Genomic DNA, 27,035 nt, shown 5'->3' on the forward strand with positions numbered 1-27,035 from the left:
AACTTCCCAACCCAAAAAAAAAGAAACACATAAAATTGAAATGAAGAAAACAATACAAAAGATCAACAAAAATGAAAGGTTGGCTTTTTAAAGAGATAAACAAAATTGACAAATGTTTAGCCAGACTAAGAAAAAGAGAAGGCCCAAATAAATAAAATCAGAGATGAAAAAGCAGACATTATAACTGATACTGCGGAAATTCAAAGGATCATTAATGGCTACTATGAGCAACTGTATGCCAAACATTGGAAAATATTGAAGAAATAGATAAATTCGTAGACACACGCAACCTAACAAGATTCAACCATGAAGAAATTCAAAATCTGAACAGACCAAAAACAAGTAACAAGATCAAAGCCATAATTAAAATTTTCCCAGCAAAGAAAAGCCTGAGACCCAATGGCTTCACTGCTGAATTCTATCAAACATTTAAAGAACTAATACCAATCCTACTCAAACTATTCCAAAAAGTAGAAGAGGAGGGAATATTTCCAAACTTATTCTATGAGGCCATTACTGCTCCTATATCAAAACCAAGGACACATCAAAAAAAGAAAACTATAGGCCAATATCTCACATGAATATTGATGAATCCTCAAAAAATGCTAGCAAACTGAATTCAACATCACATTAAAAATCATTCATTATGACCAAATGGGATTTATCCCAGGGATGCAAATATGGTTCAACATATACACATCAGTCAGTGTAACATATCATATCAACAGAATGAAGAAGAAAAACCATATGGTCATGTTAATTGATGCTGAAAAAGTATTTGAGAGAATTAAACATCTCTTCATGACAAAAACCCTCAAAAACACTGGAGACAGAAGGAACATACCTCAACACAATAAACAGACATATATGACAGACTCACAGCTAGAATCATACTAAATGGGGAGAAACTGAAAGTCATTCCTCTAAGATCTGGAACAAGACAAGGATGCTCATTTTCACCAGTGTTAGTGGAACATAGTACTGAAAGTCCTAGCTAGAACAGACTAGAGACAGAAATAAGGGGCATCCAAACTGGGAAGAGAGAAGTCAAATTACCTTTGTTCGCAGATGGTATGATCTTCTGTTTGGAAAAACCTAGACTCCATAAAAAAATGATTAGAACTGATAAATTCAGTAAAGTTTCAGGATACAAAATTAACATACAAAAATCAGTAGCATTTCTATATGTCAATAGCAAACAATCTGAAAATGAAATCAAGGAAGTAATCCCATTTCCCATTTGCAATAGCTATAAATAAAATTAATATAATCTCATCTCTTCAATAAGTGGTGTTGGGAAAACTGCATATCCACATACAAAAGAATAAAATTAGACCCTTTTAATATACAAAACTGGACCCAAGTTAATATACAAAAATTAACTTGAAATGAATTAAAGACTTAAATGTAAGATCTGAAACCAAAAACTCCTAGAGAGAAACATAGGGGAAAAGCTCCTTGACGTTGGCCTTGGCAATAATTTTTTGGGATATTACACCAAAAGCACAGACTTTTGAAAAAATAAACAAGTAGGACTACATCAAACTAAAAAGCTTCTGCATGGCAAAAGAAAGTCAACAACATGAAAAGGCAACCTACAGAATGGAGGGAAATATTTGCAAACCATATACCTGATGAGAAGTTAATATCAAAATATAGAAAATATATAAGGAACTCACATATCTCAATACCAAAAAAATAATAACCTGTTTTATAATGGGCAAAGGACCTGAATAGACATTTTTTCAAAGAAGACACACAGATGGCCAACGAGTGCAGGAAAAAGCGTTCAACATCACTAATCATCAGGGAAATGCAAATCAAAACCACAATGAGATATCACTCCACACCTGTTAGGAAAGCTATTATGAAAAACACAAGAGACAATGAATATTGGCAAGGGCATGGAGAAAAAAGAACCCTTGTACACTGTTGGTAGAAATGTAAATTGCAACAGCCTTTATGGAAAATAGAATGGAGGTTCCTCAAAAAATAAAAATAGAACTACCATACAATCTAGCAATTCCACTTATGAGTGTACATCCAAAGGAATCAAATCACTATGTCAAAGAGATATCTGTACTTCCTTGTTTATTGCAGCTTTACTCACAGTAGCCAAGATAAGGAAAAAATCTAAATGTCCATCAACGGATAAAGAAAATGGGGGGAGGGGTGTGCATGTATACATACACAATGGACTATTTTTCAGCCATAACAAAGAAGGAAACCCTGCCATTTGTGACGATATGAATGAACCCAGAGGACATTATGTTAAGTGAAATAAGCCAGACACAGAAATACAAATATTGTATGATCTCATTTATATGCGAATCTAAAAATTTCAAACTTGAAGACGAATAAGTAGAACAGTATTTATCAGGAGCTAGGGGATGTGGGGAAGAAGCAAAATATTGGGCAAAGAGTATAAACTTTCAGTTATGAGATGAAGGCCAGGTGCGATGGCTCATGTTGGTAATCCCAATACTTTGGAAGGCTGAGGCAGAGGGATTGCTTGAGACCAGCCTAGGCAAGAAAGTGAGACCTCATCTCTACAAAAAATAAAAATAAAAGAATCAGCTGGGAGTGGTGGCATACACCTGTAGTCCCAGCTAGTCAGGAGGCTGAGGGGGGAGGATCATTTGAAATTGGAAAGTCAAGGCTGCAGTCAGCCAAGATAGTGCCACTGCATTGCAGCCTGGGTGACAGAGCGAAACCCTGTCTCAAAAAAAAAAAAAAAAAAAAGATGAATAAGTTCTGGGGATCAAATGTACAGCATGGTGACTATAGTTTATAACTGCGTTATTACTTGAAATTGGATAAGAGCAGATTTTAAGCATCCCCAGCACCCCCCCAACATACACACACACAAATGGTAACTATAGGTGGTGATAGATATGTTAATTTGACTGTGACAATCAGCATTCAATATATACATATATCAAATCATCACATTTTACCCCTTGAAATAGAAACTTTGATTTGTCAATCAAATATTTTAAAACGAAAATAATCATAATATTAATATAGCATACAGGAAAAAATTTCGTATCTCGACTGATACAGAAAATTTCATGATAAAAACACTTTAAAACAAAAGAAATAAAAGGGAACTCCCTCAACCTGATAAATGGCATCTGTGGAAACCCCCAGCTAGCATCAAACTTAATACAGAAAGGCTGGGTGTTCACCTCTTGAACCAGGAACAAGACAAAGATGCCTGCTTTTGCCACTTCCATTTGACCTTGTACTGAGGTTCTGGCTAGGGCAATTATCCCTGAAAAAGAAATAAAAGGCTTCCAAATAAAAGAAGAAGTAAAACTATCTCTACTCGCTCATGACATGATCTTGCATATAGAAAATGTGCACATGTACACACACACAAACCATTAGAACTAATAAACAAGTTCAGCAAGTTTGCAGAATATAAAATGAATGTACAAAAATCAAGTGTTTTTCTATATACTAGCAATTAACAATCTCAAAATGAATTAAAATTCCATTTACAATAGTATCAAACATAAATTATTTAGAAATAAAAAGTGCACTGAAAACTACAAAATATTTTGAAATAAATCAGAAAAGATTTAAGTAAATGGATCACTTGAACCTGGGAAGCAGAGGTTGCAGTGTGCCGAGATTGTACCACTGCACTTTAGCCTGGGCAACAGAGGGAGACTCCAAAGAGTCGAAAAGAAAAGAAAAGATTTAAATAAGCTGAAACATATTCTATGGATCAGAAGACTTAATATTGTTAAAGTGACAATATTCCCCAAATTGATCTACAGCTTCAACTCAACCCCTATCAAAATCCTAGCTTGCTTTTTGGCTGAAATTGACAAGCTGATTCTATAATTTATATGGAATCTCAAAGGATCCAGAATAACCAAAACAATATTGAAAAATAAAGAACAGCGTTGGTGGATTAACATTTTCCAATTTCAAAACTTACTATAGCACTGCGGTAATCAAGCAGTGTGGCACTGTATAGCATGTACATTACAGATCAGTGGACTAGAATCAATGTCCAGAAATAAACCGTTATGTTTATAATGAATTACTTTTTAATAAGGTGTCAAGACAACGCAATGGGAAAAGAATAATGAATTCAACAAATGATGCATGGACAACCGGACATGCACATGCAACACAATGAATTTGAATTCTTCTATCGCTCCATGCATAAAAACTAACTCAAAATGGGTCACGGATGTAAATGAAAAGCTAAAACTATAATAATCCTAGAGGAAAACCTAGGAGTAAATCTTTAAGATGTTATTGTAGGCAGTGGTTTCTCAGATAGGACCCCAAAATCACAAGCGACAAAAGAAATTGGACTTAAAGTTAAATACTTTTGTGCTTCAAACATCATCAAGAAAGTGAAAACACAACCCGCAGAAGCAATAAAAATGTCTGTAAGTCATGTATCCGATTAGAGACTTCTATCCAGGATATATAAATAATGCAATTCAATGATAAAAAAGATAAATAGCCCAGTTTTCCAAAGAGTCAAGCATCTGAATATACATCTCTCCAAAAATATACAGATATCCAACAAGCATGTGAAAAGATGTTCAAAGCCATTTGCCAGGTGCACAAACCCAAGACAGTATGAGGAGATGCTACAGGGACTCTGCTGCTTCACAGACATGAAGCGTTGGTGAGAATGTAGGCAGCCGCCTTTGGGGACTTCACATCCCCGCCGCCCCACGCACGGTGAGCTAGTGTTTAAACTTAGCCGAGATCAATACACGCGACTGTGTGCCCGTCAGACCCTGCGCTGCCGGCGGGGCTGGGAGAGGCGGGCGCCAGGAGTGGGCGGGAACCTGGGGGTCAGGCCCCAGCCGCGGGAAGCCGCCCAGGAGCGCGCGAAACCTTCTCCACACCCTTCCAGGCATTTGCCCGCCGCGATTCAGAGAGCCGACCCGTGACCCCTGGCCTCCCCTAGACAGCCCCGCATGTCCAGATGTGCCGTCCCGCCTGCCTCCCGCGACCACTGGCCATCTCTGGGCCTGGGCGCGGTCTCGGCGCCCGCCTGCCCCCGCCAGGAGCCGCAGGTCCAGCCAGTGAAGAAGCCCGCGCTGAAGGAGCCTCTGTGCTCCAGAATCCATCCTCAGTATCAGCGCTGGGGTGGCCTCCTCCAGGAAGCCCTTCTGATTCTCTCATGGGTCGCTCTTCCTCTGCAGACTCCCGGAGCACCCCTGCTCCAAGTACCGCAAGTGGCACTGAGAACTTGGGGAGAGCAGAGGCTGTGCCTAGATTTGTAGGGAGTCCCCGCAGCTCCACCCCAGGGCCTACAGGAGCCTGGCCTTGGGCGAAGCCGAGGCAGGCAGGCAGGGCAAAGGGTGGAAGCAATTCAGGAGAGAACGAGTGAACGAATGGATGAGGGGTGGCAGCCGAGGTTGCCCCAGTCCCCTGGCTGCAGGAACAGACACCTCGCTGAGGAGAGACCCAGGAGCGAGGCCCCTGCCCCGCCCGAGGCGAGGTCCCGCCCAGTCGGCGCCGCGTGAAGAGTGGGAGAGAAGTACTGCGGGGGCGGGGGCGGGGGCGGGGGCGGGGGCGGGGGCAGCCGGGAGCCTGGAGCCAGACCGGGGCGGGGCCGGGACCGGGGCCAGGGACCAGTGGTGGGAGGAGGCTGCGGCGCTAGATGCGGACACCTGGACCGCCGCGCCGAGGCTCCCGGCGCTCGCTGCTCCCGCGGCCCGCGCCATGCCCTCCTACACGGTCACCGTGGCCACTGGCAGCCAGTGGTTCGCCGGCACTGACGACTACATCTACCTCAGCCTCGTGGGCTCGGCGGGCTGCAGCGAGAAGCACCTGCTGGACAAGCCCTTCTACAACGACTTCGAGCGTGGCGCGGTGAGCGCGGGCGGGGCACGGGTGGAGCGCGGGCTGAGGTGCGTCCGGGACCCGGTTTGGACGGCAGAGGCCTGGGCGGGGGCGCCGAGGGCCCGTCGGGGCGGCCCGGACAGGACTGGGGGTGTCCAGGACCCTGTCAGGGAGGGCAGAACTGCGGTGGGGCGTGCCCTGGGCTCCCAGTGGCCGGTGGGTACCCTGGTGGGCAAGCGTCCAGGACCCCTCGCGGCGGCCGCGACCCCTGTCGGAAACGGAGACTTCCCGCGTGCCGCCTGCAAGGCGTCTTCCCTGGGAGGAGAAGGCCCAAGGTTTCCCCTCCACTTCAAGATCTGGGCTCCGAGGCTCCGGAGCCCCCTTCACTGGGCCGCGTTTCTTGTGCCACCTCTTCCTTAGGCTCCTTCTGCAGGTCGCACAGGGAGGGAGAGGCAGATGAGTCATGCTCACAGAACTCTGAGGGCACCTCGGAGCAGCCAGCTGTGAGCCGTGGGGAAGGGTGCACGTCAGCGGGTCCAGAGGCCTGAGTTCTGTCCAGACATGACCACCAGCTCACTCTACCGTCTGTCTGGGCCTCAGTTTCCCCAGCTGAAAATGGAGGGTTGGCTTCAGTCTGGTCCATGAGTCATGGGTGAGCCCAGGCCCATCTGGTGGCTCAGACGGCACCTGGGCAGCTTACATTCTCAGGACAGTCCCCAGAGGAAATTAAAGGGAAGGAACAGAACCCAGGCCAGGAGAGGCTTTTCCTAAATGGAGGGGCTGCACTCCCTCCCAGCAGAATGTACACCAGGGAACACTTCCACGCTAGGTGTGAGGACGCGAGGGAGCCCTCAGCATTTGGAAGCTAGTTCCTAATGCTGATCTGGACCTGAATTCCAGCCCCACGACTCTTTTCCATGAGCATGGGCAGGTCGCAGTTCTCACTGAGCCTTTAATGAAGTGCCTAATCCAGTACCTGGCACAGAGGAAGCGCTCCGTAAATGACTGGTAATAGTCCCAGACATACTGCAGGTGCGCAGGGAATATCAGTTCCCTTCCACCCCACCCCAGCTCCTAACTGGACCAAAAAGATTTAGACTTTACCAAGCTGCCTTCTCACCATTTAGTTTATTATTTGATCAAACCTTGTGAAATTGCTCATAATGGACAAATACAACCGGCAAGTTCATGTTTCAACTGATTACTCTTGGATAAAATTTGTGTTTTAGGTGTGCAGAGCCTAAAGTAAGTAAAAACTACTCTTTTTCTGGATTCCAAGCTCTCCATGGGCTCGATTCCTATCCAGGAGCCCATACCCTCGCTGTAGCACGACATGGCCCTCAGCCAAGTTCACTAGCATCCTGGCTTGAGCTCCCTTCAAGAAGAGTTAGGTGTTGAGTACAAGAGCAACCTTCAGTTGCTTAGTTGCCCCAGTCGGGGAACTGACCCTGAGGACTGCGGTGCCCTGGAGTTAATGTGTCGTCCATTTAGGGTGATGGCACCCTCTGCCATTTCTGACGCACCTTCATTTACTTCCATTATTTCATGGATTCCCCACACCTGGGGGAGAAGGACAGGGTACAGGCTACTTCCCCTTTGTAAGTGCTTCCTCCTCCCCATTCTCCTCCACACATCATAAGGTTCTAGAAGCACAGGCCATTGGTGTGCTCACACTGCACAGCACGGGCACCCCGTGTGTGCTTTCCTCCTGCAGGGGACATGATAACGTGGCCATAGCGGGCTCTTCGGACAAAGAGTGAAGGCACTGTTTTGTCCACTATCTCCCTCTCTCGGTCTGTCTTCCCCTACCCTGAGAAGTCATTCAAATGACATTATAATTAAACACCTCAGCCGGAATCCCAGGGGCAAATTTCAGGAGAGATTTGCATGTCACATTTCCATTGGGTTGAGAGGGCTATAAGTCAGGGGTGGGGCGGGGGGTGGTTGGGGGTGGGGGCTACCGCAGGGTGGGGAACCAGCTAAGGCTGAAAGTTTCCTTGAAAAAATCAGCTTTTGAGAAAGTTCCTGTTGATGCAAAGTTACTCAACACTTTCTCTTGCCCAGCCCAGAACTACTTCCTCATTCTCCCAGCTTGGTATCTGTAAAGACAATCATCCTTTTTGGGTAAAGGTAAAAGAGAAACCCTAGAGGAAGTACTTGCTGAGAAGACAAGGTTATCCCATTTTACAGGGAAAAGTGTTAAAATCTGTATTGTTAACAGTAGTAACGATAACAATAACAATAAAGGTATTTCCACACAATTTAATCATTTCCAAGTTATTGGCAGGTCAACACCCCCCTCCTCCAGGGCATAGTTCAGTCAAATAATGGACAGGACTGATTTTTTCCTTGATAAAGTGAGTCACAGGTCCCTTGTTATTCTCATCAGAGTTCCGCATAGTGATTCAGTCAGGACTGGGAATCAAGTCCTTCGCAGGTGGGATTATCCTATAAACGGTTGTGTCTTCCTTGGCTCCTCACTGTCTGCTGGAGAAAGCCGGGATCCTACACAGAATGGCCCTGTTTCCAGAGGCTAACCCAAGTCTAGGCAAATTTAACAAGTTGATTTATTTCTTTAACTCTGTAAATTTAAAGTAATTCAGATCGGATACGATAACTGTAACAGATCTGAAGATTTCTGAGAAATCTTAGTTGGCCCATTTCATTCTGTGCTGGTACTTTTAAGAAAGCTAAGGGCAATAGCGTGGTGTTTAATATATGATACTTGAATATGTTCAACAAGTGTAGAAAAGTGTTATAATGATTCATGCTTCTTAAGTCAGTGAGTATTCTTACATTCATGAAAAATTAATTCTAGAATACCTCCTTCTTGTGAATGGGAATATATTAGTGGAGCATAAATATTTCTTTGGTATGACCCTCAATCCGTCTCTCATCTCCCAGTCTCCCCCTCTGAGCCATCTTTTCCCTACATTCTGCCCCCTCTTCTGCCTCCTCTTCCTTCCCCTGCTCCCAGTTCCCTAAATGCCCCCCGTTTCTGCTCTCTACCCTACAACTCTCCCTTCTTTTTTGCTCTGAATTTTCCTCTACACTCTGTCTTCCAGCCACCTCTCAGAGGCCCCTTCTCTGCTCCCTCAATCTCCGGCTCTCTGTCCCACATTTTCCCCCTTCTCTGCCCCTTGGTCTCCCTATCCACTACCCCAATCCCTCTCTCCGTCCCTTGTTTTCCTCAGCTCTTCCCCATAGCCTCCCCCTCTCTCATCCCGAGTCTCTGTTTTGTCTGGCCCCCAATCTTCCTCTCTGCTCTACAGCTTCCTCCTCCCACAGCCCCTCATTAGTCCCCCTCCAAGATGGGTAGTCTGGGGGTGGGGCACACATCCTTGCTTCCGCAGAGAGATCCGTCTCCCTGTCCCAGCAACAGCAGAGATCTGATGAAAGACAGATGAAAACTTTCCTAAAATGCTGATAGAAAGCTCACATGAAAACTGACCAACTGACTCTTTGCCGAAATATTCAAAAGCTTTAAAACTACATATCCAATAAAAAGTTAAAAGCAACAAGCAAAATCAGCAAAGTGGCCCCTTGTGAAATGAGGCCGGTGAGTTGCAGGTTTCCCTTGTTTCTCTCCAGCATCTGCACCACCACGCCACCCACTTCTGTCCCCAGAAACTGTGTCCAGCCTTCCTCCTCCCACGTGTGAATCCCCCGGGGACCCTGCCCTCCCAGTTCCCCACATCTGAAATGTGCTACCCATGCCCATCCTCCTACTCATCTGCCCTCTGAAATCTGATCAGCCCCTAAAAGCTGCCTGAAATACCCTCTTATGAAGCTTTTCCCTGTCCTTCCATGCCACTCCACATTGCCCCTTTACACTCCATCCAGGGTACAAACCAGGGCTCAAAGCTGGGCCTTCTAGCTTCCGGTTCAGGGCTTTTCTCAAGATGTGGCCTTGGGGAACTGTGGGAGGAACCTGGGCTTGGCCATCACACAGGTGTAGGTTCTGATCTTGAGGCCACCATTGCTCTCTGAGCCTCAGTTTCTATCTGTAAAGCAGGATAATCACTCGCTCGGCCATTCCCAGGCCCAGTGCTTCCTGAGGGCCTGTTGGGGGGTGTCCACTGTTGATAGTGCCCACCATAATTCAGTGTGTCACCTGAGAATTTAATGTGTCACAGCAAATAGACAAATATAGCATCAGCCCAGTGTACTTGGCCCAGAGAGGAGGGAGGAAGGTGGCCATTGTAGTTCCACAAACCTTCCGAAGATATTTTGCAGTTTGACACATGTGACCCTGGTATTTTCCTGGAAGGAGGCCTTTATCTGTCATTCTTCCATTAGTGGCCCCTGGGATGTTAGAACCACAGCCATCAAGCTTTGTCTTTTACTCCCTGAGTTGGGTCAAGGCTGGAGCCCTCTGCCCCTTGTTCACCTCTTATCATATTCAGGCTTGAAGCCAGCACCAGGAAAGTGGCTGGGCTGGCCATAGACCAGCCAGACTGCAGGCCTGGCCCCCTCCTGCTGTGGAAGTCCCTGTCAGATGGCAGATGGAGTCCTTGTAAATCTGCCTAGTGATTTCACCCCAAGTGAAACTCAGGGGCTCTCCACCAGGTGCCTGCAGGTGTAGGTAGGGCAGGGGGCCAGGAGTGTCCCAGTCCCCTGTGACTGCACCACAGGTGTGCTGGAGGGTCACCCCACTGTCCACTCCCTCAGAGAAGCTGCTCAGTCTCTTCGTGTGGGTCGTCACCCCCAGGTAGACATCGGGCCCTCCCTGTGGGACCTGCCCAGTCCTGGAATGCCTCCTCAGCCCATCTCCCTCCCCTCTTAGTCCAAGGTACTGGGAGCCTCCCTCCCATGAGAGTGTCCCTGTTAGCTCCTCCCACCCCACCCCAGCTTTCCTGTCATCTATCCCCTGGGGACACCTTCCTCCCTCTCCAGCCCCTCAGAGCCATAGGAAAGCTACTTCCCCTGCAGCAGCCACACTCAGACCAGGCCCGGGCCTCTGGTGGCCGCCCCTCAGTCCTCACCGCACACAGACTTGCTCTGCCTGCCCCACCAGCATTCAGAATGCCTCCCACTCTCCCTCTGTCCTCACAGCCCTGTCTCCAGCCTTTCAGGAGTTCCTTCTGGGCTTTGAGTGAAGGAGTTTGAGGTCACAGGTTCAGTTTCCTCCTCCCATGTGTGCTCCAGTTACTCGGATTGGCACATGTAGTCACGAAGTGGCCGTGACGCAGGGGCCCATGCTAGCTCACAGGCGGTGTGGGGCCTGGTGCCCTGCAACCCCCTGGATTCAGGAAGGGGCACTGGTGGTTCTGATGCACACAACCGGTGGCCTGTGCCTCTGGAGAAAGGAGGCCACCCAGGATGGTGTCATTTCATTTTCTCAATGGTCCTGCAAGTGAGGGGTATCTCCTTTGGGTAGATGAAGAAACAGCTTCAGAGAATGAAGCAATGTGCCCAGGCCATCCAGCTACTTGCCTGAAGCTGGGATGTGAATTCAGAGCTCCAGACCCCAGGGCCCACCGAGCCTTCTACCCCTCACTGCCCTCTCCCCACTCCTCGGTGGGATCAGGAATCTCTGTCTTGGCTCACAACCTGCAGCTAAGGCCTCTGTAAATCCCTGTGGCATGCAGGGCCTGGCGTGGGGCAGGCCCGACGCGTATCCAGTCCTGGGCCACTCAGCCCCCACTCTGCTCCTCCAGATGGGCCCGAGCCCCTGAGATGCTGAGACTCCTGTCCCATCAGAACCTGCCCACCCTGTCCATGATGGGCGAGGCCTTGTGTGTGGCCCTGCTCTCCTGAGGACAAGCTGTGGCAGGAAGGCTTTCTCAGAGGTGGCAGATGAGGCTGATACTCTCCCTGCAGGAGGGGCATTGTCGTGGGGCCGAGGCTGGTCCACATGTGGCTGGACCCAAGACATGTCATCCCACCACATGGGCCTGGCTCCTCTGTCATCAGAAACTGTTCCTAGGGCCTCTGGCCTAGACTACAGAGCACAGGGAGGAAGCTTCCGCTTTCTGACCACAAGCGTCTGGCCTCAGCGTCAGCCACCCCAAACTGCTCACGGTATTCAGAGCCAGGAGGTTTGTGGAAAACACTCAAGTTCCCATTCCTCTTAGGAAGCCCTCCAGGGGTCCTCCTGGCAGCTTGGAGGCAGGGCATGGAATGGGGATGCCTGCGCTCGCACAAAGGATGATACCCCTCGCCCCTTCCACTTTGCCATCATGCTGAGAACTCTAGGTTCTGCCGCCAGGGATAAAGTTCAAGGGTTGATGAATCTGGCTTAGAAAGTGCCTTGCAGGGGCCAGGCACAGTGGCTCATGCCTGTAATCCCAGCACTTTGGGAGACCGAGGCAGGTGGATCACTTGAGGTCAGGAGTTTGAGACCAGCCTGGCCAACATGGTGAAACCCTGTCTCTACTGAAAATACAAAACTTAACCAGATGTGGTGGCAGGTGCCTGTAGTCCCAGCTACTTGGGAGACTGAGGCAGGAGAATCACTTGAACCCTGGAAGTGGAGGTTGCAGTGAGCCGAGATCGAGCCACTGCACTCCAGCCTGAGCAACACAGTGAGACTCCACCTCAAAATAAAAAAGAACATGCCTTGGAGGGCATCGAGTCCGGGGCTTTCCAAACCTGCTGGTCATCAGAATGCGTGATGCAATGCCTGAGCCTCTCATCCCAACTTCCTGTCTGCCATCCATTGCTGCAGAGACAAAAGCCCTCCAGAAGCTATGGCTGTTGCCTCAGAGCCGCCTGTGTCCTGGAAGCAGGAGCCTGGCAGGGAGGGGGCCAAGCAGCCTTGTCCCAGAGGCCTGGGCAGCTGCGCTGTACACAGCCTGGGGTGGTGCCTTCTAGCTGCAAGGCTAGCCTCACCCTGCCACCAGTAATGCCACAGGTGCAGCAGAGCTGCTTGGTCTCACTGTTCTCTGGGCATCACCATGCAGCTGTGAACTGCAAATGTCCCAGGACGACTCGAATCCATGCAAGCTCCCTGTATCTAAGCCTCACCATTTTCACTCACTTATTATCCCCACTGAAAACTGGAAAGAGAGGAAGTGGCTATGATGGAAAGACCTGGGGTGTGACTCCAGCTCTGCTGGCAAGTGGCAGAGGTGGGAGTCACTGAGCCTCGCTGTCTTCATCTGTGGAAGGGGTGGTAACTCCCCTGCACTCCCAGAGTCATTGTGGGGATCCACTGTCAGCAAGCCCATCTCCAGTTGTAAAGGTCTCCCACAAGGCTATCCCATGTGGGGGCAGCTGCGGACCCTCACTGGGCACAGCCTCGCAGGTGCAGGCATGAGCCTGGGCATCTCCCCATCCTCCAGCCTGAGCTAAGTGCAGTCAGCAGGCGTTGCCCTCTGAGCAGCACAGCACCATCCTGGCTCACTGGATTCTCTCTCCTCAAGGGCAGGGCCCAGGATTTGTCCATTTCTTTCACCTGCCTGGGTCGTAGCACTGAGCCTTGTCAGGGGCAGGCCTTCAGTGAATGTCTTGGGTAAATGAATTCAGGAGTTCATTTAAGGTGTTCATGAAGAATCTTGGCTCCATGAACTGTAGTGGAGGCAAAACTCCACCTCTTCCCATTTCAGCTAGGTCTGAGAATCGGCATAAGACAGATTCATGGGCGAAAGCCTACAGATTTCTTTAATACAAGTTGTACGTGGCATGGGAGCCCTCTTAAAAAGATGAAGACCCCAAGAAGCAGTTAGAGTCAATCCCCCTTAGATACTGCATTGAATGAATCATCGTGAGATGTGATAAGGCCAAGGGGCTTGGGCTAGGGCAGGTAACTGGGCAGGGAAGTGACTCGGGAGGTAAGCGTTCATTGTACAAGATCTGTTTGTATGGATTTCCTTTGGCTTCAACTTCCCAACCTTGATGAAAAGAGTGTTACTTTCCTTTTGGTATAGTGAGGACATCTTTCATAGGGGACTTTCATCTCCTGCTTCTAAGAAACAGCACGAATGTCAGAGTATCTTGCACCTGCTGTTTTTTTAAGTGCTTTTCATTCAACGTAGTCCCTGTGCCACAGCAGCATACCTTGGGGTGACAAATTCTTAACACCTCCAGAACAAAGGCTCAGGAGACCACGCATGGCCTGATTGCCTGTTCTCCTTCCCAGGTGGATTCATACGACGTGACTGTGGACGAGGAACTGGGCGAGATCCAGCTGGTCAGAATCGAGAAGCGCAAGTACTGGCTGAATGACGACTGGTACCTGAAGTACATCACGCTGAAGACGCCCCACGGGGACTACATCGAGTTCCCCTGCTACCGCTGGATCACCGGCGATGTCGAGGTTGTCCTGAGGGATGGACGCGGTGAGCAGCTCAGGCCCCTTCTGCCCCGGGCTTCCCAAGAACCGAAAGTTCTTCCTGTCCTCAAAGCACTGTAGTCATAGGAGGAATGACACTGCTGTGCAGGGGCGGGAAGTGGGAGGGCTCTGCCCTGTGCCTCGACACACCTGCAGGAGGCATGACTTTCCTTGGGATTCTTACAAGCCCCTGAGGGTGGAGCGGGTGGCCCCAGGCCTCACTGTCGTCATGTCCTCACTCTGCGCTACAGTTCTACAGGGGAGGGTTGTGCCCCTCTTTTTGTCAGTGGGTAACTAGGGTCCATACAGGCAGATACCTATGGGACATGCCCCTGGATGGGCACTTCTCTAGTTGCCAGGGTGTGGCATCACTTTCTAGTTCATAGCCTGCCCTCCGTGAGATCACAGTAGGGCTCAGGCAAGCTCAGGGTGCCCCATGTGGGCCTAGGGAGGGAAGGGGTGGACAAGGAGCACCCCAAGTGCCAGCTCTGAGGAGCCATGGACAAGCCTGCAAATCACAGTTACCAGTTCTTCAACCCGAAGTCTCACCTTTCGCTGAAAGAAAGAAGAACCTCAAATCTGTTCCCCTTACTAAGATGCCCAGATGTGCAGACCCCAGTTAGGAGGCCATTCTTTGTTAGGGACACACAGCTGACCTGGTACAGAGCATCAGAGACGGACGCAGGCGTCAAGGTCAGCCAAGGCTCCCTGAATGAACCACCTTGCATACCCAGCCTCCTAGTGTGCCTGGCAAAATCCTACCTCACTTCGAGTCATAACCCTTCAGCTTGCTCTCAGTTTAAACCTGGAAAGATAAGCCTTCAAAGGCCAGGCAGCCACCGTAATAAGAGAAAGCCACTGCTTCTGCCATGACAGCGTCAAACTCTTTCTCTTTGCCAAGTTTCCTGTAGCTAGTGTGTTCTTCACGAAGTTTGGTGGGGTAGGTAGGAAGAGATGACTGTTACCCCCATTTTATAGCTAAGAAAACTGAGACAAAGGAGAAAAAAGTTATTCTGTACCTGCTGTTCTTAAGCTACCAGGCCACATCCCATCGTTTCTGATGTGGAATTTGACTTAAGAAACCAAATTTCCAGAATATTTCTGAACATGGAGTTAAGAGGATTTTTGTCCCCCTACCTAATGACAGGAAAAAAAATCACAAAGTTCATTTATTCCTGTGGTCAACAGAATGTGGAAGGTTGTGGACAGGGCACTTCTCTTTTTCTGGTAGTTAGAAAATGCTGGCTCTGAAACTCCCTCCTGCACATCTACCCAAGGTCTCGGTTATGAAGCCCTTCTTCCTGCAGACCCTTCAGCTCATCTTGGCAAAAAACAGATGGTACACTAGGATGAGGGTTTAACAAAGGGGCATCACAAAGGTGTGGGCCCATGTGCAGAGGGACCATGCAGAGTGCGGGGCCATCAGCACCACTAGTCCTGATGCAGGGGGAGGGGGAAGGTTGTGGGAGTAATGCAGAAGTATCCTGGAGACAGCACCCTTGGAGGAGCTGCGGCCCTCAGTAGAAAGGTTCTGGGGAGTGATTGGCCTCTCCTTCCTCTACACATTCCCTCCTTTCTGGTCAGAGTTCCCAGTGGAAAACCCATTGAGGCATCTCATTCCAATCACTTTCAGGGACAGCACAGGTTGGAGGGTGAGCATAGAGAAGCTGTCCAGCAAGTTCCATTCTCTCTACTGCTGTAAAACCAACCTCCTTGGTAACTTTAAACAGCCATTTAATTTTGTTCATGCTCTTGCAGGTCAGGAATTTAGGAAAGGCTTCACTGGGCAGTTCATCTGTGGCCATGTAGCATCAGCTGAAGGGGGCTGGGCCTTCTTCTGTCATGTGTCTGGCACCTCTAGGCTCCTTGGCCTCTCTGTCCATATGGAGTCTCATTCTTTAAGGCTTCTCACAGAATGGTGTCCTCTGGGTGCCTGCATTTCTTACATGATGGCTGGCTTCCAAGAGCAAGTTTTCTAAGAGACAGAAAGTGGAAGCTGCCAATCTCTTCAGGCTTGGGCCTGGAAACTGGCACACTGTAACTTCCATCATATTCTACTGGTCCAAGCAGTCACAGAGCCCACCCAGACTCCGGGGGTGGGGGTGGGGATGCAGACCCCCCCATCTCTCAATGGAAGGAATGTCAAAGAATTTGTGGCCTATTATTATTATTATTATTATTATTTTGGGACAGAGTCTCACTCTATTGCCCAAGCTGGAGGGCAGTGGCACGATCTCAGCCCACTGCAACCTCTGCCTCCCAGGTTCAAGCGATTCTCCTGCCTCAGCCTCCTAGGGAGCTTGGTTTACAGGCTCCAGGTAGCCACCAAGCCTGGCTAATTTTTGTATTTTTACTAGAGAAAGGGTTTTGCCATGTTGGCCAGGCTAGTCTGGAACTCCTGACCTCAGGTGATCCACCCGGCTCGGCCTCCCAAAGTGCTGGGATTACAGTCATGAGCTACCATGTCCAGCTGTGGCCAATTATTAATCCACCACATGGCAAAACAACCAATCCCTTGAACAACCTGGAAATGAGGGGGGCCAGCCTACAAGTGATTCAATTACTCACCATATGATCACCCCTTAAATCTAATATTTCACCACTACACCTTGGGTGAACATGAATGTCAGAGGGCCATTACTGTGGCCCCACAGATCCAGAGCATCTGTGTGAAGGGACAGCTTCATTAAGGCACTGTGTCAGTCCTTGGAACCTGCCCTGCTGAGCTCTTCTGCCGTCAGTCCAGGCTTTCTCATCCTGCTGTGCTCCCAGAACTTCATCAGCCATTGGATAAATTCTTCAAACACCTTCGGGACCAGGGGAGACAGAACTATTCTCTTTTTGAAACTTGGCATGTTGCAATTCCGCATGTACTGACTTATTCATACCAGTGAAACTGAAGAGATCCAGCTCCTCAGAGTCAAGGTGCCCAAGAGATTAGCTGGTTCCTTAAGGTAGATAAGAGATGATGAATGTTGAGTGCCTCCAGAATTACCCCCATAGCCAATGATAACAGTTATTGTCACCATTAATACTCAGCTTGCCTTCTGTGGCCTCAAGCCTCCCCTCCTGGCTGGCTTTACATCCCCAGGGGAGGATGCAGAGGTATCCCGTTAATATTCCTTTTTGGACCCCAGTTCCAAGCTCAAGGATGAAGATGTCTCAGCCTGGAAGTGCTGTCGGGTGGACAGCTCAGAATGTGGCCTGAGTGTCATCTGAGAACTAACTGCGTCCAGGTCTGCAATTAGATCAGTACAGAGGTTGAAGCCTATAGTTCCAGCACTTTGGGTGGCTAAGGCGGGAGGATTGTTTGAGTCTAGGATTTTGTCACAAGCCTGGGCAATGTAGAGAGACCCCATCTCTACAAAAAAAATTGAAAATTAGCTAGGGGCCGAGGCGGGTGGATCACAAGGTCAGGAGATCGAGACCATCCTGGCTAACACAGTAAAACCCCGTCTCTACTAAAAATACAAAAAATTAGCTGGATGTGGTGGTGGGCAACTGTAGTCCCAGCTACTTGGGAGGCTGAGGCAGGAGAATGGCGTGAACCTGGGAAGTGGAGCTTGCAGTGAGCTGAGATCATGCCACTGTACCCCAGCCTGGGCAACAGAGCAAGACTCTGTCTCAAAAAAAAAAAAAAAATTAGCCAGGTGTGGTGGTGTGTGCCTATAGTCCCAACTACTTAGGAGGCTGAGGTTGGGGAATCACTTGAGTCCTGAAGTTCAAGGCTGCAGGGAGCTATGATCATGCCACTGCACTCTAGCCTGGGAGACAGAGGGAGACCCTGTCTCTTAAAAAAAATAAAAATAAAATAAATACAAAATAAAATACAAAGACTCAGAGGAGGGGTTTTAGAAACTTTTATAGCAACTTAACAGAACAATTTTGTGACTTTTGCACCTAATAAGAAAAAAAAAGACTTGGATTTTGAATATCTTTGGGTTTTTAAAATTTCATTTTTCTAGTAATTAATTTTTATTATATTTTACAAAAATATAATAATCTGTGTTGAAAAGTAAGTTTTAAAACACAATGCTTTACCACGAGAGCTAGAGAAACTATTCCAGGACCTGTTTTCAGGAGATCTGGGCTCCCCCTATTCACAGCTCTATGGGCTGCGTTCACAGGCTTGGCCTTAAGCAATAGTTTAAAGAGTGGTCATGATATGACCTCATCTGCTCTAAAGGCTCTGAGAAGCAGCCCCGCCCTTAGCTACCTGCTACCTGCTCCAACTCCTGCAGTGAGAGACGGCAGCAGGACAGGCTGAGAGATAAGATGCTCTCAGAGCTAGGCTTAGAGGGAGGAGCAGAACCCTCAGGCCAGTGATGACTATAGGCATAATGATAATGATCATTGTTCCCATCCATTGGCATTTACTGCGTGCCAGGCGCCGTGTGGAGGGCTTTCCTGCATTCTCTCCCCAAATGCACACCATGACCCGGAGAAGTAGGCATTATCATCTCCATTTTACATGTGAGGGGGTCAGGGCAACTCTTGGTCACACAGCTTCAGTGACAGAGCCCAAGTCCAAGCACATGTGTCTCTTCTAAAGCCATCTAGGACACTGCACTCTTTTAGAATGGAGCTCATTCTCAATCCTCTGTGTAGGCACGACAGGAAACCGGGTTGTGTCATCGTCACACATTTCTCCATGAAACAATGAAATGGACTTAGAAACATAAGAGCTGTGAGAACTGCTGCTCTCACAGGCAACACTAAAACCCAGAGTGAACTCCCGTTTTTGCTCAGTATAAGAATTTCAGAGAAGAGGAGTAAACTATTCTGCAGTGATTTAAAGATACCCACCAAGGGCCACGAAATGCCTTTCTCCTGGAGCAAAAAGGCAGCTCTGCACCAGGGGCCCTTAGGTCCCTGAAGAGTCTTGAGGGGCTGAGTGGAAGGTTAGGACCTCAAGTGGAAATGCACACGCAGGCCAGAGTTAGGCATGTACTGTGCCTGCCAAGCCCAGTGAGAACCAAGCCTGGCTCTTGCATCTGAACATGATTCTCTAAGCACTGAAAGGCAGGGGCCCCAAGGCTTGCTGAGTGAGTGGGCAAGAGGATGAGGAACTGGATTTGGCTTTTGTAAAGTGAGTGGCTAAGAGCACAGGAGTTGAGTTTTATGTTGAAAATTCACTAATTCAGACTGGTTCCAAGATGGCCGAATAGGAACAGCTCCAGTCTACAGCTCCCAACATGAGCAATGCAGAAGATGGGTGATTTCTGCATTTCCAACTGAGGCACTGGGTTCATCTCACTGGGGATTGTTGGACAGTGGGGGCAGAACAGTGGGGGCAGCCCATTGAGTGTGAGCATCACCTCACCTGGGAAGTGCAAGGAGTCAGGGAATTCCCTTTCCTAGCCAAGGGAAGTGGTGACGGACAGCACCTGGAAAATTGGGTCACTCCCACCCTAATACTGTACTTTTCCAACAGTCTTAGCAAACAGCATACCAGGAGATTATATCCCATGTCTGGCTCGGAGGGTCCCATGCCCACAGAGCCTTGCTCATTGCCAGCAAGCTCGAACTGGGTGGAGCCCATCGCAGCTCAGGAAGGCCTGCCAGCCTCTGTAGACTCCACCTCTGGGGGCAGGTCATAGCCGAACAAAAGGCAGCAGAAACCTCTGCAGACTTAAATGTCCCTGTCTGACAGCTTTGAAGTGACTAGTGGTTCACCCAACATGGAATTTGAGATCTGAGAAGGGACAGACTGCCCCCTCAAGTGGCTCCCTGACCCCAGAGTAGCCTAACTGGGAGGCACCCTCCAGTAGGGGCAGACTGACACCCCACATGGCCAGGTACACCTCTGAGACAAAGCTTCCAGAGGAGCAATCAGGCAGCAACATTTGCTGTTCAGCAATATTCGCTGTTCTGCAGCCTCTGCTGCTGATACTCGGGCAAACAGGGTCTGGAGTGGACCTCTAGCAAACATCAACAAACCTGCAGCTGAGGGTCCTGACTGTTAGAAGGAAAACTAACAAACAGAAAGGACATCCACACCACCAAAACCCCATCTGTACGTCACCATCATCAAAGACCAAAGGTAAATAAAACCACAAAGATGGGGAAAAACAGAGCAGAAAAGCTGAACATTCTACAAATCAGAGTGCCTCTCCCCTTCCAAAGGAAGGCAGCTCCTCGCGAGTGGTGGAACAAAGCTGGATGGAGAATGACTTTGACGAGTTGAGAGAAGAAGGCTTCAGATGATCAAACTTCTCCCAGCTAAAGAAGGAAGTTGGAACCCATCGCAAAAAAAGCTAAAAACCTTGAAAAAAGATTAGACGAATGGCTAACTAGAATAACCAATGTAGAGAAGTCCTTAAATGACCTGATGGAGCTGAAAAACATGGCACGAGAACTATGTGACGAATGCACAAGCTTCAGTAGCCGATTCGATCAACTGTAAGAAAGGGTATCAGTGACTGAAGATCAAATGAATGAAATGAAGCGAGAAGATAAGTTTAGAGAAAAAAGAATAAAAAGAAATGAACGAAGCCTCCAAGAAATATGGGACTATGTGAAAAGACCAAATCTACATCTGATTGGTGTACCTGAAAGTGATGGGGAGAATGGAACCAGGTTGGAAAACACTCTGCAGGATATTATGCAGGAGAACTTGCTCACCCTAGCAAGGCAGGCCAACATTCAAATTCAGGAAATACAGAGAACACCACAAAGATACTCCTTGAGAAGAGCAACTCCGAGACACATAATTGTCAGATTCACCAAAGTTGAAATGAAGGAAAAGATGTTAAGGGCAGCCAGAGAGAAAGGTCAGGTTACCCACAAAGGGAAGCCCATCAGACTAACAGCTGATCTCTCGGCAGAAACCCTACAAGCCAGAAGAGACTGGGGGCCAATATTCAACATTCTTAAAGAAAAGAATTTTCAACCCAGAATTTCATATCCAGCCAAACTAAGCTTCATAAGTGAAGGAGAAATAAAATCCTTTACAGACAAGCAAATGCTGAGAGATTTTGTCACCACCAGGCCTGCCCTAAAAGAACTCCTGAAGGAAGCACTAAACATGGAAATGAACAACTGGTACCAGCCACTGCAAAAACATGCCACATTGTAAAGACCATCAATGCTAGGAAGAAACTGCATCAACTAATGAGCAAAATAACCATCTAACATCGTAAAGACAAGATCAAATTCACACATAACAATATTAACCATAAATGTAAATGGGCTAAATGCTCCAATTAAAAGACACAGACTGGCAAATTGGATAAAGAGTCAAGACCCATCAGTGTGCTGTATTCAGGAAACCCATCTCATGTGCGGAGACACACATAAGCTCAAAATAAAGGGATTGGAGGAAGATCTACCAAGCAAATGGAAAACAAAGGCAGGGGTTGCAATCCTAGTCTCTGATAAAACAGACTTTAAACCAACAAAGATCAAAAGAGACAAAGAAGGCCATTACATAATGGTAAAGGGATCAATTCAACAAGAAGAGCTAACTATCCGAAACGTATATGCACCCAATACAGGAGCACCCAGATTTATAAAGCAAGTCCTTAGAGACCTACAAAGAGACCTAGACTCCCACACAATAATAATGAGAGACTTTAACACCCCACTGTCAACATTAGACAGATCAATGAGACAGAAAGTTAACAAGGATATCCAGGAATTGAACTCAGCTCTCCAGCAAGCGGAGCTAATAGACATCTACAGAACTCTCCACCCCAAATCAACAGAATGTACATTCTTCTCAGCACTGCATCACACCTATTCTGAAATTGACCACATAGTTGGAAGTAAAGCACTCCTTAGCAAATGTAAAAGAACAGAAACCATAACAAACTGTCTCTCAGACCACAGTGCAATCAAACTAGAACTCAAGATTAAGAAACTCACTCAAAACCTCTCAACTACATGGACACTGAACAACCTGCACCTGAATGACTACTGGGTACATAACGAAATGAAGGCAGAAATAAAGATTTTCTTTGAAACCAATGAGAACAAAGACACAACATACCAGAATCTCTGGGACACATTTAAAGCAGTGTGTAGAGGGAAATTTATAGCACTACATGCCCACAAGAGAAAGCAGGGAAGATCTAAAATTGACACCCTAACATCACAGTTAAAAGAACTAGAGAAGCAAGAGCAAACACATTCAAAAGCTAGCAGAAGGCAAGAAATAATTAAGATCAGAGCAGAACTGAAGGAGGTAGAGACACAAAAATCCCTTCAAAAAATCAATGAGTCCAGGAGCTGATTTTTTGAAAGGATCAACAAAATTGATAGACTGCTAGCAAGACTAATAAAGAAGAAAAGAGAAGAATCAGCTCTCCCTCTCCCCTCTCCCCTCTCCCCTCTCTCCTCTCCCATCTCCCCTCTCCCCTCTCCCATCTCCCCTCTCCCCTCTCCCTCTCCCTCTCCCCACGGTCTCCCTCTCCCTCTCCCCACGGTCTCCCTCTCCCTCTCTTTCCACGGTCTCCCTCTGATGCCGAGCCAAAGCTGGACTGTACTGCTGCCATCTCGGCTCACTGCAACCTCCCTGCCTGATTCTCCTGCCTCAGCCTGCCGAGTGCCTGCGATTGCAGGTGCGCACCGCCACGCCTGACTGTTTTTCATATTTTTTTGGTGGAGACGGGGTTTCGCTGTGTTGGCCAGGCTGGTCTCCAGCTCCTAACCGCGAGTGATCCGCCAGCCTCGGCCTCCCGAGGTGCCGGGATTGCAGACGGAGTCTCATTCACTCAGTGCTCAATGGTGCCCAGGCTGGGGTGCAGTGGCGTGATCTCGGCTCGCTACAACCTCCACCTCCCAGCCGCCTGCCTTGGCCTCCCAAAGTGCCGAGATTGCAGCCTCTGCCCGGCCGCCACCCCGTCTGGGAAGTGAGGAGCGTCTCTGCCTGGCCACCCATCGTCTGGGATGTAAGGAGCCCCTCTGCCTGGCTGCCCAGTCTGGAAAGTGAGGAGCGTCTCTGCCCGGCCGCCATCCTGTCTAGGAAGTGAGGAGCGTCTCTGCCTGGCCGCCCATCGTCTGGGATGAAGTGAGGAGCGTCTCTGCCCAGCCGCCCATCATCTGAGATGTGGGGAGCACCACTGCCCCACCACCCTGTCTGGGAGGTGAGGAGCGCCTCTGCCCGGCCGCCCTGTCTGAGAAGTGAGGAGACCCTCCGCCCGGCAGCCGCCCCATCTGAGAAGTGAGGAGCCCCTCCATCTGAGAAGTGAGGAGCCCCTCCGCCCGGCAGCCGCCCCTTCTGAGAAGTGAGGAGCCCCTCCGCCCGGCAGCCGCCCCGTCTGGGAAGTGAGGAGCGTCTCCGCCCGGCAGCCACCCTGTCCGGGAGGGAGGTGGGGGGCGGTCAGCCCCCCGCCCGGCCAGCCGCCCCGTCCGGGAGGGGAGGGGTTCAGCCCCCCGCCCGGCCAGCCGCCCCGTCCGAGAGGGAGGTGGGGGGGTCAGCCCCCCGCCCGGCCAGCTGCCCCGTCCGGGAGGTGAGGGGTGCCTCTGCCTGGCCACCCCTACTGGGAAGTGAGGAGCCCCTCTGCCTGGCCACCACCCCATCTGGGAGGTGTAGCCAACAGCTCATTGAGAACGGGCCATGATGACAATGGTGGTTTTGTGGAATAGAAAAGGGGGAAAGGTGGGGAAAAGATTGAGAAATCGGATGGTTGCTGTGTCTGTGTAGAAAGAGGTAGACATGGGAGACTTTTCATTTTGTTCTGTACTAAGAAAAATTCTTCTGCCTTGGGATCCTGTTGATCTATGACCTTACCCCCAACCCTGTGCTCTCTGAAACATGTGCTGTGTCCACTCAGGGTTAAATGGATTAAGGGCAGTGCAAGATGTGCTTTGTTAAACAGATGCTTGAAGGCAGCAGGCTCCTTAAGAGTCATCACCACTCCCTAATCTCAAGTACCCAGGGACACAAACACTGCGGATGGCCGCAGGGTCCTCTGCCTAGGAAAACCAGAGACCTTTGTTGACTTGTTTATCTGCTGACCTTCCCTCCACTATTGTCCTATGACCCTGCCAAATCCCCCTCTGCGAGAAACACCCAAGAATGATCAATTAAAAAAAAAGAAAAAAAAAAGAAGAGAAGAATCAATTAGACGCAATAAAAAGTGATAAAGGGGACATCACCACGGATTCCACAGAAATACAAACTACCATCAGAGAATACTATAAACAACTCTAAGCAAATTAACTAGAAAATCTAGAAAAAATGGATAAATTCCTCGACACATACACCCTCCCAAGACTAAACCAGGAAGAAGTTGAATCCCTGAATAGACCAATAACAGGCTCTGAAATTGAGGCAATAATTAACAGCCTACCAACCCAGAAAAGTTCAGGACCAGATGGATTCACAGCCGAATTCTACCAGAGGTACAAGGAGGAGCTGGTACCATTCCTTCTGAAACTATTCCAATCAATAGAAAAAGAGGGAATCCTCCCTAACTCATTTTATGAGGCCAGCATCATCCTGATACCAAAGCCTGGCAGATACACACACAAAAAAAACAATTTTAGACCAATATCCCTGATGAACATCGATGCAAAAATCCTCAATAAAATACTGGCAAACCGAATCCAGCAGCACATCAAAAAGCTTATCCACCAGGATCAAGTGGGCATCATCCCTGGGATGCAAAGCTGGTTCAACATACACAAATCAATAAATGTAATCCAGCATATAAACAGAACCAAAGACAAAAACCACATGATTATCTCAATAGATGCAGAAAAGGCCTTTGACAAAATTCAACAACCATTCATGCTAAAAACTCTCAATAAATTAGGTATTGATGGGACGTATCTCAAAATAATAAGAGCTATTTATGACAAACCCACAACCAATATCATACTGAATGGGCAAAAACTGGAAGCATTCCCTTTGAAAACTGGCACAAGACAGGGATGCCCTCTCTCACCACTCCTATTCAACATAGTGTTGGAAGTTCTGGCCAGGGCAATCAGGCAGGAGAAAGAAATAAAGGGTATTTAATTAGGAAAAGAGGAAGTCAAATTGTCCCTGTTTCCAGATGACATGATTGTATATTTAGAAAACCCCATTGTCTCAGCCCAAAATCTCCTTAAAGCTGATAGGCAACTTCAGCAAAGTCTCAGGATACAAAATCAATGTGCAAGAATCACAAGCATTCTTATACACCAATAACAGACAAACAGAGAGCCAAATCAGGAGTGAACTCCCATTCACAATTGCTACAAAGAGAATAAAATACCTAAGAATCCAACTTACAAGGGATGTGAAGGACCTCTTCAAGGAGAACTACAAATCACTGCTCAACGAAATAAAGGAAGACACAAACAAATGGAAGAACATCCCATGCTCATGGATAGGAAGAATGAATATCATAAAAATGGCCATACTCCCAAGGTAATTTATAGATTCAATGTCATCCCCATCAAACTACCAATGACTTTCTTCTCAGAATTGGAAAAATCTACGTTAAAGTTCATATGGAACCAAAAAAGAGCCCGCATTGCCAAGACAATCCTAAGCCAAAAGAACAAAGCTGGAGGCATCATGCTACCTGACTTCAAACTATACTACAAGGCTACAGTAACCAAAACAGCATGGTACTGGTACCAAAACAGAGATATAGACCAATGGAACAGAACAGAGCCCTCAGAAATGACACCACACATCTACAACCATCTGATCTTTGACAAACCTGACAAAAACAAGCAATGGGGAAAGGATTCCCTATTTAATAAATGGTGCTGGGAAAACTGGCTAGCCATAGGTAGACAGCTGAAGCTGGATCCCTTCCTTACACCTTATACAAAAATTAATTCAAGGTGGATTAAAGACTTAAATGTTAGACCTAAAACCATCAAAACCCTAGAGGAAAACCTAGGCAATACCATTCAGGACATAAGCATGGGCAAGGACTTCATGTCTAAAACACCAAAAGCAATGGCAACAAAAGCCAAAATGGACAAATGGGATCTAATTAAACTAAAGAGCTTCTGCACAGCAAAAGAAACTACCATCAGAGTGAACAGGCAACCTACAGAATGGGAAAAAAATTTTGCAATCTACTCATCTGACAAAGGGCTAATATCCAGAATCTACAAACAACTCAAACAAATTTACAAGAAAAAAACAAACAACCCCATCAAAAAGTGGGCGAAGGATATGAACAGACACTTCTCAAAAGAAGACGTTTATGCAGCCAACAGACACATGAAAAAATGCTCATCATCACTGGCCATCAGAGAAATGCAAATCAAAACCATAATGATATACCATCTCACACCAGTTACAATGGCAATCATTAAAAAGTCAGGAAACAACAGGTGCTGGAGAGGGTGTGGAGAAATGGGAACACTTTTATACTGTTGGTGGGACTGTAAACTAGTTCAACCTTTGTGGAAGACACTGTGGCAATTCCTCAGGGATCTAGAACTAGAAATACCATTTGACCCAGCCATCCCATTACTGGGTATATACCCAAAGGATTATAAATCATGCTGCTATAAAGACACATGCACACGTATGTTTATTGCAGCACTATTCACAATAGCAAAGACTTGGAACCAACCCAAATGTCCATCAATGATAGACTGAATTAAGAAAATGTGGCACATATACACCATGGAATACTATGCAGCCATAAAAAAGGATGAATTCATGTCCTTTGTAGGGACATGGATGAAGCTGGAAATCACCCTTCTCAGCAAACTATCGCAAGGACAAAAAAACAAACACTACATGTTCTCACTCATAGGTGGGAATTGAACAATGAGAACACTTGGACACAGGAAGGGGAACATCACACACCAAGGTCTGTCATGGGGTGGGGGTAAGGGGGAGGGATAGCATTAGGAGATATAACTAATGTAAATGACGAGTTAATGGGTGCAGCACACCAACATGACACATGTATACATATGTAACAAACCTGCACGTTGTGCACATGTATCCTAGAACTTAAAGTAGAATTAA

The 27,035-nt window shown here is 47.8% G+C and overlaps 1 protein-coding gene across 8 annotated transcripts in view, besides 2 other annotated features; it reads left to right on the top strand.

Annotated features, from left to right (window-relative positions):
• Nucleotides 5,411-6,021: an enhancer, noted in NCBI's record as "H3K27ac-H3K4me1 hESC enhancer chr10:45869432-45870042 (GRCh37/hg19 assembly coordinates)". NCBI's record gives its function as "activates a minimal SCP1, AML or CMV promoter by ChIP-STARR-seq in naive H9 embryonic stem cells {active_cell/tissue: H9 hESC(naive)}" and the evidence as "EXISTENCE:reporter gene assay evidence [ECO:0000049][PMID:30033119]".
• ALOX5 (arachidonate 5-lipoxygenase) overlaps nucleotides 5,643-27,035 on the top strand; it is a 71,902-nt gene continuing 50,509 nt past the window's right edge. For 6 of the 8 annotated variants that reach the window (NM_000698.5, NM_001256154.3, NM_001320861.2 and 3 more), the window contains exons 1-2: nucleotides 5,643-5,856; nucleotides 13,910-14,108. In NM_000698.5, the coding sequence (NP_000689.1) occupies nucleotides 5,707-5,856; nucleotides 13,910-14,108 (349 nt within the window). In that variant the 5' untranslated portion in view covers nucleotides 5,643-5,706. Of the gene's footprint in view, nucleotides 5,895-13,909; nucleotides 14,109-27,035 lie in introns of those variants that run through there. The other 2 variants (NM_001320862.2, XM_047424937.1) reach the window with 2 other exon arrangements.
• Nucleotides 6,022-6,630: an enhancer, noted in NCBI's record as "H3K27ac-H3K4me1 hESC enhancer chr10:45870043-45870651 (GRCh37/hg19 assembly coordinates)". NCBI's record gives its function as "activates a minimal SCP1, AML or CMV promoter by ChIP-STARR-seq in naive H9 embryonic stem cells {active_cell/tissue: H9 hESC(naive)}" and the evidence as "EXISTENCE:reporter gene assay evidence [ECO:0000049][PMID:30033119]".

The sequence above is a fragment of the Homo sapiens genome, chromosome 10 (genome assembly GCF_000001405.40).
Source record: "Homo sapiens chromosome 10, GRCh38.p14 Primary Assembly".
Taxonomy (NCBI): Eukaryota; Metazoa; Chordata; class Mammalia; order Primates; family Hominidae; genus Homo; species Homo sapiens.